Source organism: Homo sapiens, chromosome 5 (assembly GCF_000001405.40).
Source record: "Homo sapiens chromosome 5, GRCh38.p14 Primary Assembly".
Lineage (NCBI taxonomy): Eukaryota > Metazoa > Chordata > Mammalia > Primates > Hominidae > Homo > Homo sapiens.
The window spans coordinates 42,935,718-42,950,345 of NC_000005.10; positions in this window are offsets into that span (position 1 = coordinate 42,935,718).

Below are 14,628 nucleotides of genomic sequence, written 5' to 3' on the forward strand. Positions count from 1 at the left end.
TAATAAGAGCTATCTATGACAAACCCACAGCCAATATCATACTGAATGGGCAAAAACTGGAAGCATTCCCTTTGAAAACTGGCACAAGACAGGGATGCCCTCTCTCACCACTACTATTCAACATAGTGTTGGAAGTTCTGGCCAGGGCAATCAGGCAGGAGAAGGAAAGAAAGGGTATTCAGTTAGGAAAAGAGGATATCAAATTGTCCCTGTTTGCAGATGACGTGATTGTATATCTAGAAAACCCCATCATCTCAGCCCAAAATCTCCTTAAGCTGATAGGCAACTTCAGCAAAGTCTCAGGATACAAAATCAATGTGCAGAAATCACAAGCATTCTTATACATCAATAACAGACAAACAGAGAGCCAAATCATGAGTGAACTCCCATTCACAATTGCTTCAAAGAGAATAAAATACCTAGGAATAGAACTTACAAGGGACATGAAGTACCTCTTCAAGGAGAACTACAAACCACTGCTCAATGAAATAAAAGAGAATACAAACAAATGGAAGAACATTCCATGCTTATGGGTGGGAAGAATCAATATCGTGAAAATGGCCATACTGTCCAAGGTAATTTACAGATTCAATGCCATCTCCATCAGGCTACCAATGACTTTCTTCACAGAATTGGAAAAAACTACTTTAAAGTTCATATGGAACCAAAAAAGAGCTCGCATTGCCAAGTCAATCCTAAGCCAAAAGAACAAAGCTGGAGGCATCATGCTACCTGATTTCAAACTATACTACAAGGCTACAGTAACCAAAACAGCATGGTACCGGTACCAAAACAGAGATATAGACCAATGGAACAAAACAGAGCCCTCAGAAATAATGTCCCATATCTATAACCATCTGATCTTTGACAAACCTGACAAAAACAAGAAATGGGGAAAGGATCCCCTATTTAATAAATGGTGCTGGGAAAACTGGCTAGCCATATGTGGAAAGCTGAAACTGGATCCCTTCCTTACACCTTATACAAAAATTAATTCAAAGTGGATTAAAGACTTAAATGTTAGACCTAAAACCATAAAAACCTTAGAAGAAAACCTAGGCAATACCATTCAGGACATAGGCATGGGCAAGGACTTCATGTCTAAAACACCAAAAGCAATGGCAACAAAAGCCAAAATTGACAAATGGGATCTAATTAAACTAAAGAGCTTCTGCACAGCAAAAGAAACTACCATCAGAGTGAACAGGCAACCTACAGAATGGGAGAAAATTTTTGCAATCTACTCATCTGACAAAGGGCTAATATCCAGAATCTACAATGAACTCAAACAAGTCTACAAGAAAAAAACAAACAACCCCATCAAAAAGTGGGCAAAGTTATGAACAGACACTTCTCAAAAGAAGACATTTATGCAGACAAAAGACACGTGAAAAAATGCTCATCATCACTGGCCATCAGACAAATGCAAATCAAAACCACAATGAGATACCATCTCACACCAGTTAGAATGGCAATCATTAAAAAGTCAGGAAACAACAGGTGCTGGAGAGGATGTGGAGAGATAAGAACACTTTTACACTGTTGGTGGGACTGTAAACTAGTTCAACCATTGTGGAAGTCAGTGTGGTGATTCCTCAGGGATCTAGAGCTAGAAATACCATTTGACCCAGCAATCCCATTACTGGGTATATACCCAAAGGGTTATAAATCATGCTGCTATAAAGACACATGCACACGTATGTTCATTGTGGCACTATTCACAATAGCAAAGACTTGGAACTAAGCCAAATGTCCGACAATGATAGACTGGATTAAGAAAATATGGCACATATACACCATGGAATATTATGCAGCCATAAAAAATGATGAGTTCATGTCCTTTGTAGGGCCATGGATGAAGCTGTAAACCATCATTCTCAGCAAACTATCGCAAGGACAAAAAACCAAACACCACATGTTCTCACTTATAGGTGAGAACTGAACAGTGAGAACACATGGACACAGGAAGGGGAACATCACACATGGGGGCCTGTTATGGGGTGGGGGTAGGGGGGAGGGATAGCATTGGGAGATATACCTAATGTTAAATGACGAGTTGATGGGTGCAGCACACCAACATGGCACACGTATACGTATGTAACTAATCTGCACGTTGTTCACATGTACCCTAAAACTTAAAGTATAATAAAAAAAATCTTGCTAATCATAGGTTATGGAAAGACTGTGTTTCTGTTTTAAGGCTCTGTTAGAAATTAGTGATGCACACACTATATTGTAAATTCTTATCTCTGTATACTGTACTTCTGCATACCGATGTTATGTTAAAGAATTACTTTATCCCCACGTGAACATCTCACCTCATAATCAAACGACCCTAATCCCTCACTAACCTACCCCCACCCTCACTAAACTTAATAATAAATGCTGGTATATCCAGTGCATTGGTGGCATCGCAGGACCAGAGGTGGTGACCCCCCTGGACCCAGCTTTCACTATTTTGTGTGTGTCTATTATTTCTCGACCTGCCAATCCACCTGCGAACAAAGAAAGAGCCCCGTTGCATTGTGGACTGCCGGCCAGATCCCACAACAGCTAACATGGTGAAATCCCGTCTCTACTAAAATTACAAAAAACATTAGCCCTGAGTGGTGGCACACCCCTGTAATCCCAGCTACTTGGGAGGCTAAGGTGGGAGAATCAATTAAACCCAGGAGGCAGAGGTTGCAGTGAGCTGAGATTGGGCCACTGCACTCCGGCTTGGGAAACACAGCAAGACCCTGTCTCAAAAAAAAAAAAAAAAAAAAAAAAATTGAAGGTGGAGTTACCATCATGAGACGAGATTCTAAGACTAGAACAACTTTATTATGCGCTGGACATGGTGGCTGACACCTGTAATCCCTGCACTTTAGGAGGCTGAGTCAGGAGGATCACTTGCAGTGAGAATCCCAAAACCAGCCCAGGCAACATAGTGAAACACCATCTCTAGCAGAGAGAAAAAAAAAAAGCTTTTAATTAGCTGCGTGTGGTGGTTTCTGCCTGTAGTCCCAGCCACTCAGGAGGCTGAAGCAAGAGGATTGCTTGAGCCCAGGAGTTCGAGGCTGAAGTGAGATATGATGGTACCACTGCATTCTAGTCTAAGCTATAGAGTGAGACCTTGTGTCTAAATTTAAAAAAAAATTATTACAGCCATGAACAGAGATTAAAACAAAAATAGTCGCTTTCAGTGACCCAAGTGGGAGGTATCTAGACTAAAACAATCTTCTAGTCTTCTGCCCAAGATGGCCTGCTGGCCTCCAGGCAAACAGTTTTGATTTAGTTTTGATTGAATTGTTTAATTACTGATGATACAATGCCCACATGCATGATATTGACTCTATAAATTATGAGGTTGGCCAAAGATATAGCCAAGGCATTTTTAAGGAAGCTGTAACTGATGATGCTTGATGGTGTGTTCTACATTTTCTCCCTATGTATATCAGATTAGTTGACCCCTATATAAGCTGACCTCTTTATCCTCTAGGTTATGACACACTAATCTTCCAGGATATAACAGAAAATAAAGTGTAAAAGCAAAATACTCTAGGCAATTATTTAACCCATTTCTTCTTTGCCCTGAGAATACTGGCAGGTGGCGCATGCAGGTACAGCATTTACCAAGACCATTCATGGATTCCTTCTTTTTCTTTACATTTTTTTTTTTTTTAGAGGAGTTTCACTATTGTCACCTATGCTGGAGTGCAATGGTGCCATCTCAGCTCACTGCAACCTCCGACTTCTGAGTTCAAGCAATTCTCCCATCTCAGACTCCTGAGAAGCTGGGATTACAGGTGCACACCACCACACCCAGCTAATTTTTGCATTTTTATTAGAGATGGGGTTTCACCACATTGGCCAGGTTGGTCTCAAACTCCTGAGCTCAGGTGATCCATCTGCCTCATCCTCCCAAAGTGCTGGGATTACAGGTGTGTGCCACCGCACCTGGGCGGATTTTTTTTTTTTTTCAGATCATTTGATATCTGTTTTCGACTTTCTGTTCAACCAAGCTGTCCCAACTGCATCAGTCCTATTTTGATGTAATTCTCTGAAAAGCATTTCAGGGTAACATTAAGACTGTAACCTCTGAGTTGACCTCAGAGTAAAAAATATAGCTGCAAGTGCTGCCAGAGAGTATTATCAGGGCAAATGGGAAATGTGTTAGTTAATTAAAGGTCTCTTTCACTGTTACTGGAGGCCACTAGAACTTAGATTTAAGTATAGTAGTATAATTCTAGTATGTGTAAATCAAGATTCTTTAATAAAGCATCACCAGCCTTAGCAGTTTTTGTCTAGGGTAGCTGAAAAGAACTAGTACATTCCTTTGCACAGTTTGGAGGGAGAGGCAGGTCTGCATTAATGGCTGGACAGCAGGTCTTTGCCTGGGTAACATGGATCCCCTTTGGGAACTGTCACCCCTATGTGTGTTATACCCATCCAGAGCACTGCCGACTCTCTACAATGCAAGTTTCCATTCACTGTTCACTCCTAGAGAGACGTATCCAAGCTACATGCTCAAAGAAATGATAAAGCTAGTTTTCTGGGATCACCACTGGTGCTTTTCCAGTAATTACTGGCAGGTAGGGGTTGCTCCTGCTCCCAAGATCCACTCTCCAGACACCCAGAGTCCATAAACCTTTCACCTAACGAGAACTTTCAATCTTCTGCCTTCTATATCTATTATGTCATTCTTATTGCTTCATTATTTTTTCCTTTAGTTTTCTATAGTTGTATATTTTCCTCACTTCAAGTAAAAAAAAAAAACATGGCTTTGAAGGGAAGCATCACATTCAGACCTTGTCTTTCTGGTCTTCAAATCAGCTCCTGCAATAAACACTGAGTTAGCTGTGTTCTGAATGGCCTCTTGACAGCGTCTTTACTCACTCATCAGTTAGAGTTGTGAAAGCTGCAGCTAGTGTCTCATCTTTGTATTTGTGGCTCCCTTTACAGCACCTGGAACATGGTAGGGTATCAAAACATGCTTACTAAATGTTGGGATCAATCAGATTTTATAATAGTAAACAATAATATTTGATTAAGTAATTATATAATCTTATCCATTGATGCTTTGTAAATAGCATGTTTGAATCAAAGGAATTTCTATTTCACAATGGATATGAGAAGGAAAAAAATAATCCACAAAAAGAACACAACAAAGAATGATCCATTTTACATTTGTTCTGATTAAGGTTATCTTTCATTCCATGATAAAATCCACAATGATAATATTGTTAAAAACTGAGCAAATTACTTTCAACCAGATACTGTCTAAACATTAACTTTTGTTATGAAAAGTATTCCTGGTATTTACTTTGTAAAATGAGAGCACATTTGGCTTCCATTTCAGAGGTGGTTAATAAAGGCTACAGGGTTAGATAACATGTTGAGGGTCACTCATCTAGAAAGGCATATAACCTGTCTGTAACTTAGCCACTGGGTCCTGAGCCTTTAGCTTTTTGCTATTGTACACAAAAATGCTGAAATCTTTTTTGTTTTTTTTGGTTTTTTTTTTGAGACAGGGTCTCACTCCATTGCTCAGGCTGGAGTACAGTGGCTCAATCTCAGCTAACTGCATCCTCAACTTTCTGGGCTCAGATAATTCTCCTGCCTCAGTCTTCCCACCTCAGTCTTTTGAGTAGCTGGGACTACAGGCACAGGCCACCACACCTGAATAATTTTTGCATTTTTTGTAGAGACAGGCTTTCGCCATGTTGTCCAGGCTGGTCTCCAACTCCTGGGCTCAAGTGATCTGCCTGTGTTGGCCTCACAAAGTGTTGAGATTACAGGTGTGAGCCACTGCACCTGACTGAAATCTTCTTAATATAACAATTCAGTAGAAGACAAAACTGGGAGAGTGAAAGACCACACCAACAATGGGCAACTATCCTTACCCTGCTCCTCAATAACATCCCAAATCATACCTTGCACATTCCCCCCAAGCTTTTCTCTGCTGGTAGACAAGGTTTCAGTCTCTGCTCTTAAGACAAGCAATGTGATTTTGGCAATAATGAACTTTCTATAAGAAAGCCAGGCACCATAAAAACAGCTTTTCCTCCACAGACATAGTTGTACTTTTTCCTTTATTTCTGAGACAGAGTTTCCCTCTTGTTGCCCAGGCCGGAATGCAATGGCGTGATCTCAGCTCACTGCAACCTGTGCCTCCCAGGTTCAAGCAATTCTCCTGCCTCAGGCTCCCAAGTAGCTGGGATTATAGGCATGTGCCACCACACCCGGCTAATTTTGTATTTTGAGTAGAGATGGGGTTTCACCTTGTTGGCCAGGCTGGTATCGAACTCCTGACCTCAGGTGATCCACTTGCTTCCACCTCCCAAAGTGCTGGGATTATAGGCCACTGTGCACAGCCACTTTTTCCTTTCATCTGCTAAACCCATCTGTCACTAATCTAGATAATTTCATCCCAGATGATAGGATTTTATGTTAATATCATTAATTCCATTTTCTGAGGAAATTTTCTCCTAAGACTAAAGTCACACGCAGTTTCTGTTATCTGGCTAGAACCACTCAAGGGAGCAGAAGACTATAAAAACACAAATACTGGTGATTTCTGAGTTCCAGATACTCTGTCACTAGTTGTGAGATGGATGCAATGAAGCAGCACTTTCCTTCTGGGGTGCAGCAGGCCTGGGATTCAACAGACCAGGCTCTAGGACTCCAGAGGCTACCAACCCTGAGCCCAGGCCATTGTGTGCCTTGTCTGCTCCCTTGTATGTTATTGCACACATACACCCAAATTCTGCAATACTTTAAATTTAGCAATTCAACAGTAGATGACAAAACTGGGAGAGTGAAAGACCACAGTAAGAACTGGGGGCCGGGCACGGTGCCTCACACCTGTAATCCCAGCACTTTGGGAGGCCGAGGCGGGCAGATCACGAGGTCAGGAGACTAAGACCATCTTGGCTAACACAGCGAAACCCTGTCTCTACTAAAAAAAAAAAAAATACAAAAAAAAATTAGCCAGGTGTGGTGGCACGTGCCTGTAGTCCCAGCTACTCCAGAGGCTGAGGCAGGAGAATCACTTGAACCCGGGAGGTGTAGGTTGCAGTGAGCGGAGATCGCACCATTGCACTTTAGCCTGGGAGACACAGCGAGATTCCGTCTCAAAAAAAAACAAAAGAAAATAAAAATTGGGCAAAAAAAAAACAAAAGAAAACAAAAATTGGGCAACGACCACCCTGGGCAACATGGAGAAACCCCATCTTTAGAAAAACTACAAACAGAAATTAGCCAGGCATGGGGGCACACGCTCGTTTTCCCAGCTACTTTGGAGCTACTCTGGAGGCTGAGAGGGGAGCCTGCAGCTCGAGGCTGTCAAGAGCATGCCACTGCATTCCCACCTGATCTACAGAGAAAAACCCGGTTAAAAAAAAAAAAAAGCCGAGGCATCACATTACCTAACTTCAACTTCAAACTATTCTGTAAGGATACAATTATCCTAAGCAAATTAATGCAGAAACAAATATTGCATGTTCGTCTCACTTATAAGTGGGAGCTAAACCTGGTGTACGGGGACATAAAGATGAGAATAGACAACTGGGGACTCCAAAAGGAGGGAAGGAGGGACATAGGGAGGTAAAGACTGAAAAACTTCGCACTGGGGACTATGTTCACTCTCTAGGTGATGGGGTCAATAGAAGCCTCAGCATCACGCAATACATTTTTGTTACAAACCTACACATGTCCCTCTGAATCTAAAATTAAAATGTAAAAAGGTCAACATATCACAGAATAATAATATAATGAAACACCACAAAAATGATCTTTTGATTTAAAAAATGGGCAACTACTCTGGCCTCCTCCTTAGTAACATCCCCATCTTTAGGCATCTGACAAGCATTGCTCTGGGGCAGAAACGAATCCAGTCTGCTCCAGTACTAGCAATGCATTTGGAGGCAATAATGAACGTTCTAACCAGGGTCCCCCAAAACAGCTTTCCTTGCACAAGAAGTCAGTACTTTTTCTTTTCAATTTCTAAAGCAAAGTGTTTAACTAGATAACTTCATCCCAGATGATAGGACTTTACGTGAATCTCATTAATTCCATGTCTTGATGTAATTTGCTCCTAAGATTAAGGTTCCCACCCACCTCCCTGTAATCTAATTTGGACCGCTCATGAGACCAGAAGAGTATAAAAACGCAAAAGATGTTGATTTCTGAATCCCAGATACCCGGTGTCAGCTGGTGAAAGAAGGACGCGATGAAGTTGCTGTCTCCCCTCGGAGTTTGGCAGGCCCGGGATTCCACAAAGGAGTAGGCGCGGCCAGCCGCCTCCAGCCCTGAGCTCAGTAAATTCGGTGTCCTGAATGCTCCCTTCCTGTCCTTACCACTGCGAGCTCTCTTGGGACAGCTTTCTAGGTTCCACTGCGACCTACTTTCCGCTCCCTGAGTGCTTCTTTGCTGAAACTGCAGGCGAAAAGATCTCTTTCCCAGACCGCAGCGCACTTTGAGAAGGGGCTCAAAGTCGCCCGCTCTGAATCCGGCACCGGCAAATAGGAGTAGCCGCAGGCGCCCTCTGGAGAGCTGGAGACTGCAGAGGGTCCCAACGGACGCCTGCCCCCGCAGCATCCCTCTCAACTCGCCCCTTGCTTCGTGGACAGACGACTGGGGCCGGAGACGTCCGTCCGAGGAGACCTTTCAGAGTGTCAGCCTACTACTGTCCCGCCGAAGCCACCAACCGAAGTTCCAAGACTGCTGGCTGCAGATTGCATGCGCTTGAGGGCAGACGCCCTAAGAAGGTGTCCACCGCCGCCTTTGATGTCCTGAGCCCTGAGATTTTCTCTGAGATCCTTCCATTGACGATCGTCTTGTAACAGATGATGTTACAGTAACACCTGAGTTCTCTCAAACGCGATGGAAGAAGTTTTGCCTTCAAATCAGTTTGTGCCATTTTCTTTCCCCTTCTCAATAAAATTGTACACAAATGTGGCCGGGCGCGGTGGCTTACGCCGGTAATCCCAGCAATTTGGGAGGCCCAGTCGGGTGGATCACTTGAGGTCAGAAGTTCGAGAACAGCCTGACCAACATGGTGAAACCCCGTCGCTACTAAAAATACAAAATAAGCCAGGCATGGTGACGCATGCCTGTAATCCCAACTACTCGGGAGGCTGAGGCAGGAGAATCGCTTGAACCCTGAGGCAGAGGTTGCAGTGAGCCGAGATGGTGTCATTGCACTCCAGCCTGGGCAACAAGAGCAAAACTCTGTCTCAAAAATATAAAATAAAATAAAATAGGACACAAATGTTAAATTTCTGTTACCTGGGTTCCTGCTGATGAAGGTAAGGACGGGGCATAGGAGCGGGGCGGCTGGTTGCTGGTGCCAGGACTGGCACGGGACTCTGGGTCGCCTAGGTTTGCTGATTGCAGGGCAGAAGTAGTGTGTCTTATCCAGAGACTGGAGGGAAGGATCAGCCAGGAGTTGTGCATGGCAGGTGACTCACAGGCTGGGCCTACAGGAAATGTGGTTAACAGGCAGCAGGCCTGAGAACTTAGTGCAGGAAATTCTCTTGTTCCAAGTCCCTGGAACTTTTCCCTCTGAGGGTTTGCACTGTTATATCTTGAGAGCTTGCTAAACTCACTCATGAGTGCTGGAACTTTTCTTTTAGACTCCTTAAGATTTTCTACATAGACTCATATTCTGCAGGTATGGATATTTTCATTGTTTCGCTTCCAATTTTTATGATTTTTAACACATTTTCTCACCTTATTGCACTGGCAAACAATTCCAGTACATTGTTGAATAGAAATGGTGAGAGTGGATATTTGTGCCTTGTTCCTGATTCCATGGGAAAAACGTTGAGTCTGTCATTATTACATACCACGTTTGCTATAGGTTTTTGTAGATTTTTTTTGGTTGAGGAAATTCCCTCTGTTCCCATGATGCTGAGAGTTGGTTTTTAAATTTTAAATCATAAATGGTATAGATTTTAAGTGCTTTTTGTGCATCATTTGATAGGATTATACGGTGTTTCTCATCTAGGCTATCAATAAGGCAAATTATATTATTTGACTTTCGAGCATTAAACTAGCCCTCCATCTGGAATAATCTTACTTGGGCGTGGTATTGTTCTTTATTTTTTTTGAGACGGAGTCTCGCTCTGTCGCCCAGGCTGGAGTGCAGTGGTGCGGTCTCGGCTCACTGCAAGCTCCGCCTTCCGGGTTGACGCCATTCTCCTGCCTCAGCCTCCCAAGTAGCTGGGACTACAGGCACCCACTACCACCCCCGGCTAATTTTTTGTATTTTTTTTTTTTAGTAGAGACAGGGTATCACTGTGTTAGCCAAAATGGTCTCGATCTCCTAACCTCGTGATCCGCCGGCCTCGGCCTCCCAAAGTGCTGGGATTACAGGCGTGAACCACTGCGCCTGGCCCAAGGCATGGTATTGTTCTTTAACATATATTTCTGACTGCCATTTGTTAGTATTTTGGTGAGGATTTCTGCATCTATGCTTAGGTGCAATATTGGTCAGTAGCTTTCTCTTAGCGTACTGTGTGTGCCAGGAAAGTGCTGATCTCATAAAATAAATTGGGAAGTATTCCATATTCTTTTATTTACTAGAATAAGTCATGTAGAATTCATCTTATTTATTCTTTAAATATTTGGTAAAAAATAGTCAATGAAATTGTAAGAAACTCTAGGTTTGTTTTTTGGAAGATTTTTTGACCATGAATTCAATATCATTAACGATGACTGTGGATCTTGCAGGGTTGATCCATTCTATCTAACTTGTTGAATTTATGAGTATAGAGTTGGTTTTAGATCATTTAAAAAAGTTACCATTGTGGGCCAGGTGGGGTGGCTCACTCCTGTAATCCCAGCACTTTGGGTGGCCAAGGTGAGTGAATCACTTGAGGCCCGGAGTTCAAGACCAGCCTGGCCAACATAGCAAAACCCCATCTCTACTAAAAATACAAAAAATTAGCCAGGCGTGGTGGTGCACGCCTGTAATCCCAGCTACACAGGAGGCTGAATCACAAGAATCACTTGAACCCAGGAGGTGGAGGTTGCAGTGAGCCAAGATCAGGCCACTGCATGCCAACCTGGGCGACAGAGCAAGAATTTTTTCAAAAAAAAAAAAAAAAAGTTATCATCGTGAATACATTGATCAATATAAAGACACTGCTAGCTAACATCAGTTTGCCTCACTAGATCTGTTTACCAGTCTTCAGCCAGCTCTATCTTGCAAGAAGTAACCGTTATGGACTGCACTGGAGAGCTACTTTTGCCTCTGGGCTTCTGTTTGAGTTTAGGCCCTGAAAGACACCAGCTGTTCAGAGATATGGAGTAGTAATTTATTACCTTGCTTTGTTCCCCCTGGAGCTCAGGGTATTGAATTATTTTAAGTAAAGTCAAAAATAGTCTGGCTATGGTGGCACATGCTTGCAATCACAGCACTTTGGGAGGCCAAGGCAGGAGGATCCCTGGAGGTCAGGAGTTCAAAACCAACTTGGGTAATAGAGTTAGATCCCGTCTCCACAAAGAATAAAAAAATTAGGCTGGGCACGGTGGCTCACACCTTTAATCCCAGCACTTTGGGAGGCCAAGGCGGTTGGATCACCTGAGGTCAGGAGTTCGAGACCAGCCTGGCCAACATGGTGAAACCCTGTCTCTACCAAAAAATACAAAAATTAGCAGGGTGTGGTGGTGGACACCTGCAATCCCAGCTACTCGAGAGACTGAGGCAGGAGAATCACTTGAACCTGGGAGGTGGAGGTTGCAGTGAGCCAAGACTGCACCATTGCCTGGGCAACAAGAGCAAAACTCCATCTCATAAAAAAATAAATAAACATAAATAAATAAGTAAATAAATAAATAAGCCAGGCATGGTGCTATGTACCTGTAGCCACAGCTACTTGGGAGGCTGAGGAAGGAGGACTGCATGAGCTGAGATGGCGGAGGCTGCAATAAGCTATAGTTGTACCACTGCACTCCAGCCTGGGTGACAGAGTGAGACCCGGTCTCAGAAAAATAAAAGGGAAAAAAAAGGCCAAAAATACTGTGGAGTGGCCCTTCCAGCACTTGCTTGCTTTCTCTAACACCACTCATTCTCTTGCCCCTACTTAGCTAGGAATGGTAATGCTTTCTTCTGGTGAAAGTCTGGAGTGCTCCCTACCTCTTGTTTGTTTCCTTTTACCTGTCCACAAATGCTCATTGTAAGTAGTCAGTTACTTTATTAAACACTTCTCAACTACCCCTTTTTGTGCATTCATTTTATGCACCAACATTGATAATACAGATTCCACTGGCAAGTATAAAATTATTCCAAAATATTTAGCAAAGCAAAATATTTCATCCTGGGGCAGTTCAGAGTTTGGACAAAGAAAGTTGATGTGCCAGAGCAAACAGATTGAGTGTCTGCTGAAGCAAAAGAAAAGGGCAGTGACTTGTCATGGAAGCTGAAGAAATACATTTGCTATACAAAATGCTGAAGAGAGGTTGACATTTGTGGGAATAGGAAAATGAAATTGTGGAATGAAAGATTCATTATACAGGATTCACTGGGATGTGAAAATTGGAGATAATAAATATACAGTCCTTATGTTACATTTTTAACCTTTTATTTAAAATGATTTAAAATTTACAAGAAAAAATGCAAGAAGGAACCACAGAAATCCAGCTTTTTTTTTTTTTTTTTTTTTTTTGAGACAGAGTCTCGCTGGAGTGCAATGGTGCAATCTCGGCTCACTGCAACCACCACCTCCCGGGTTCAAGTGATTCTCCTACCTCAGCTTCGTGAGTAGTTGTGACTGCAGGCTTGAGCCACCACGCCCAGCTAAGTTTTGTATTTTTAGTAGAGATGGGGTTTCACCATGCTGGCCAGGCTGGTCTCGAACTCCCAACCTCAGGTGATCCTCCCGCCTCTGCCTCCCAAAGTGCTGGGATTACAGGCGCAAGCCACCGCACCCGGCTGCAGCCTACCTTTTATCCATATTCCCTCCCCTCCTCTCTTTAAAGAATTTGGGGCCACCACGGTGGCTCCCACCTGTAATCCCAGCCCTTTGGGAGGCCGAGGCGAGTGGACCACCAGAGGTCAGGAGTTCGATACCAGCATAATCAACATAGTGAAACTCCATCTCTACCAAAAATACAAAAATTAGCCGGGTTTGGTGGCATGCACCTGTAATCCCAGCTACTTGGGAGGCTGAGGTAGAAGAATTGCTTGAACTCAGGAGGCAGAGGTTGCAGGGAGCCGAGATCACACCACTGCACCCGCCTGGGCGACAGAGCAAAAATTTTTTTTAATTGTAAAAACACTGTACAACTTATGGCCAGTAAACTTTAATATTTAGTGTGCATTTCCTAAGAACAGGGATATTGTCTTACATAAGCTTACACAGTAGCACAGTACAGTTATCAATTGCAGGAAATTTAACCTTACTATAATACACTTCAGCATCAGCCTGGGTATTTATGTCTCCGGAGCTCGTGGGCGGAGGCAAGCCAAATATGAAACTCAATAGTAATAAATGCACTAAAATTAGTACACAAATGAAAAACGATAAAATTTTAGAAAGTACATAGAACCAAAACAAACCGTAATTCCGACGGAAAAACAGCGAGAAAAGAAAACGAAATGAAACTGACACTAAGCAGACCGTATAGAGAAGTAGCCCTACAGAACGCAGGGATTAAAGAGAGCTTCAGAGGCCAAGAACCACCTGTGTCCGGGAAATGAGCATTGCTGCCACCAGGAAACTGTCCGCTAGGGCTCGGCACTACTAAGGACCTCGCTAACAATAATCTGGCTGCGCTGGGACTCAGCAAGAGCAGACACCCAGCGGATTGCCCTGGTGTTGCCAAACAAATGTCCATTTAGGTGCCATAAATGGTGCTGCTAGAAAGAAACTGCGGGCTCTTAGATAGGAGTCCTGTCTGGAGAAATGAACTGACTGTGTTTAAATGTGTTGTGACAGAAAAATGTGTTGTGGCATCTTATTGTGTTTTAAGTCGTTTAATGTGTTTTAACCCGTTGTAATGTGCTGTGAGAGAAAAAGCCGCAGCTAACGGTGCTATGGAATTACTAGAGAGCACAGAGGCTGGGTGCAGTCACCGGTCTGCACCGTAAAAAGGGGTTCAGGAAGTTCCTACGAGATATTAGCGTTTCTAGGACCCAGAAAGAGACAGCACAGAGAATTTACGGGCCCCGAAAACATGAAACGTCCTGTTGGGCGCTAAGAATTGTGCACCAATTGAGAAAACGCCCAGTGGGCGCTACTGGCAAAAGTGCTGACGCAAAACCGACAGCTCCGCATAAGAAGCGGAGTCGCCAGACAGAACCCGGGACCTGGCAGCAGCAAGTCTGAGACCGAGATCGGCTCCCCGCGTCCTGAGCATGCAAGTCAAGGAGCACGAAGCTGAGACATTTAAAATCAGTAGAAAAAAATACATAACATTTAAATAGAAATACAATTTAAAAATAATAGAAGCCTAAAATGCAAGTAGAAATGAAAGGCAAGCACATCGGTAATGTCGTTCTCAGAGCAAGACACAAAAAGACAATTAAAAAATAAGCAAAAATTGCTGACAACCATTCCTACAAAGAAGAAATTACAAATGTTTGTAATGCAATCCTACGATTAGGATATCCCTATCCGATCTAAACCAGTACATGTTACA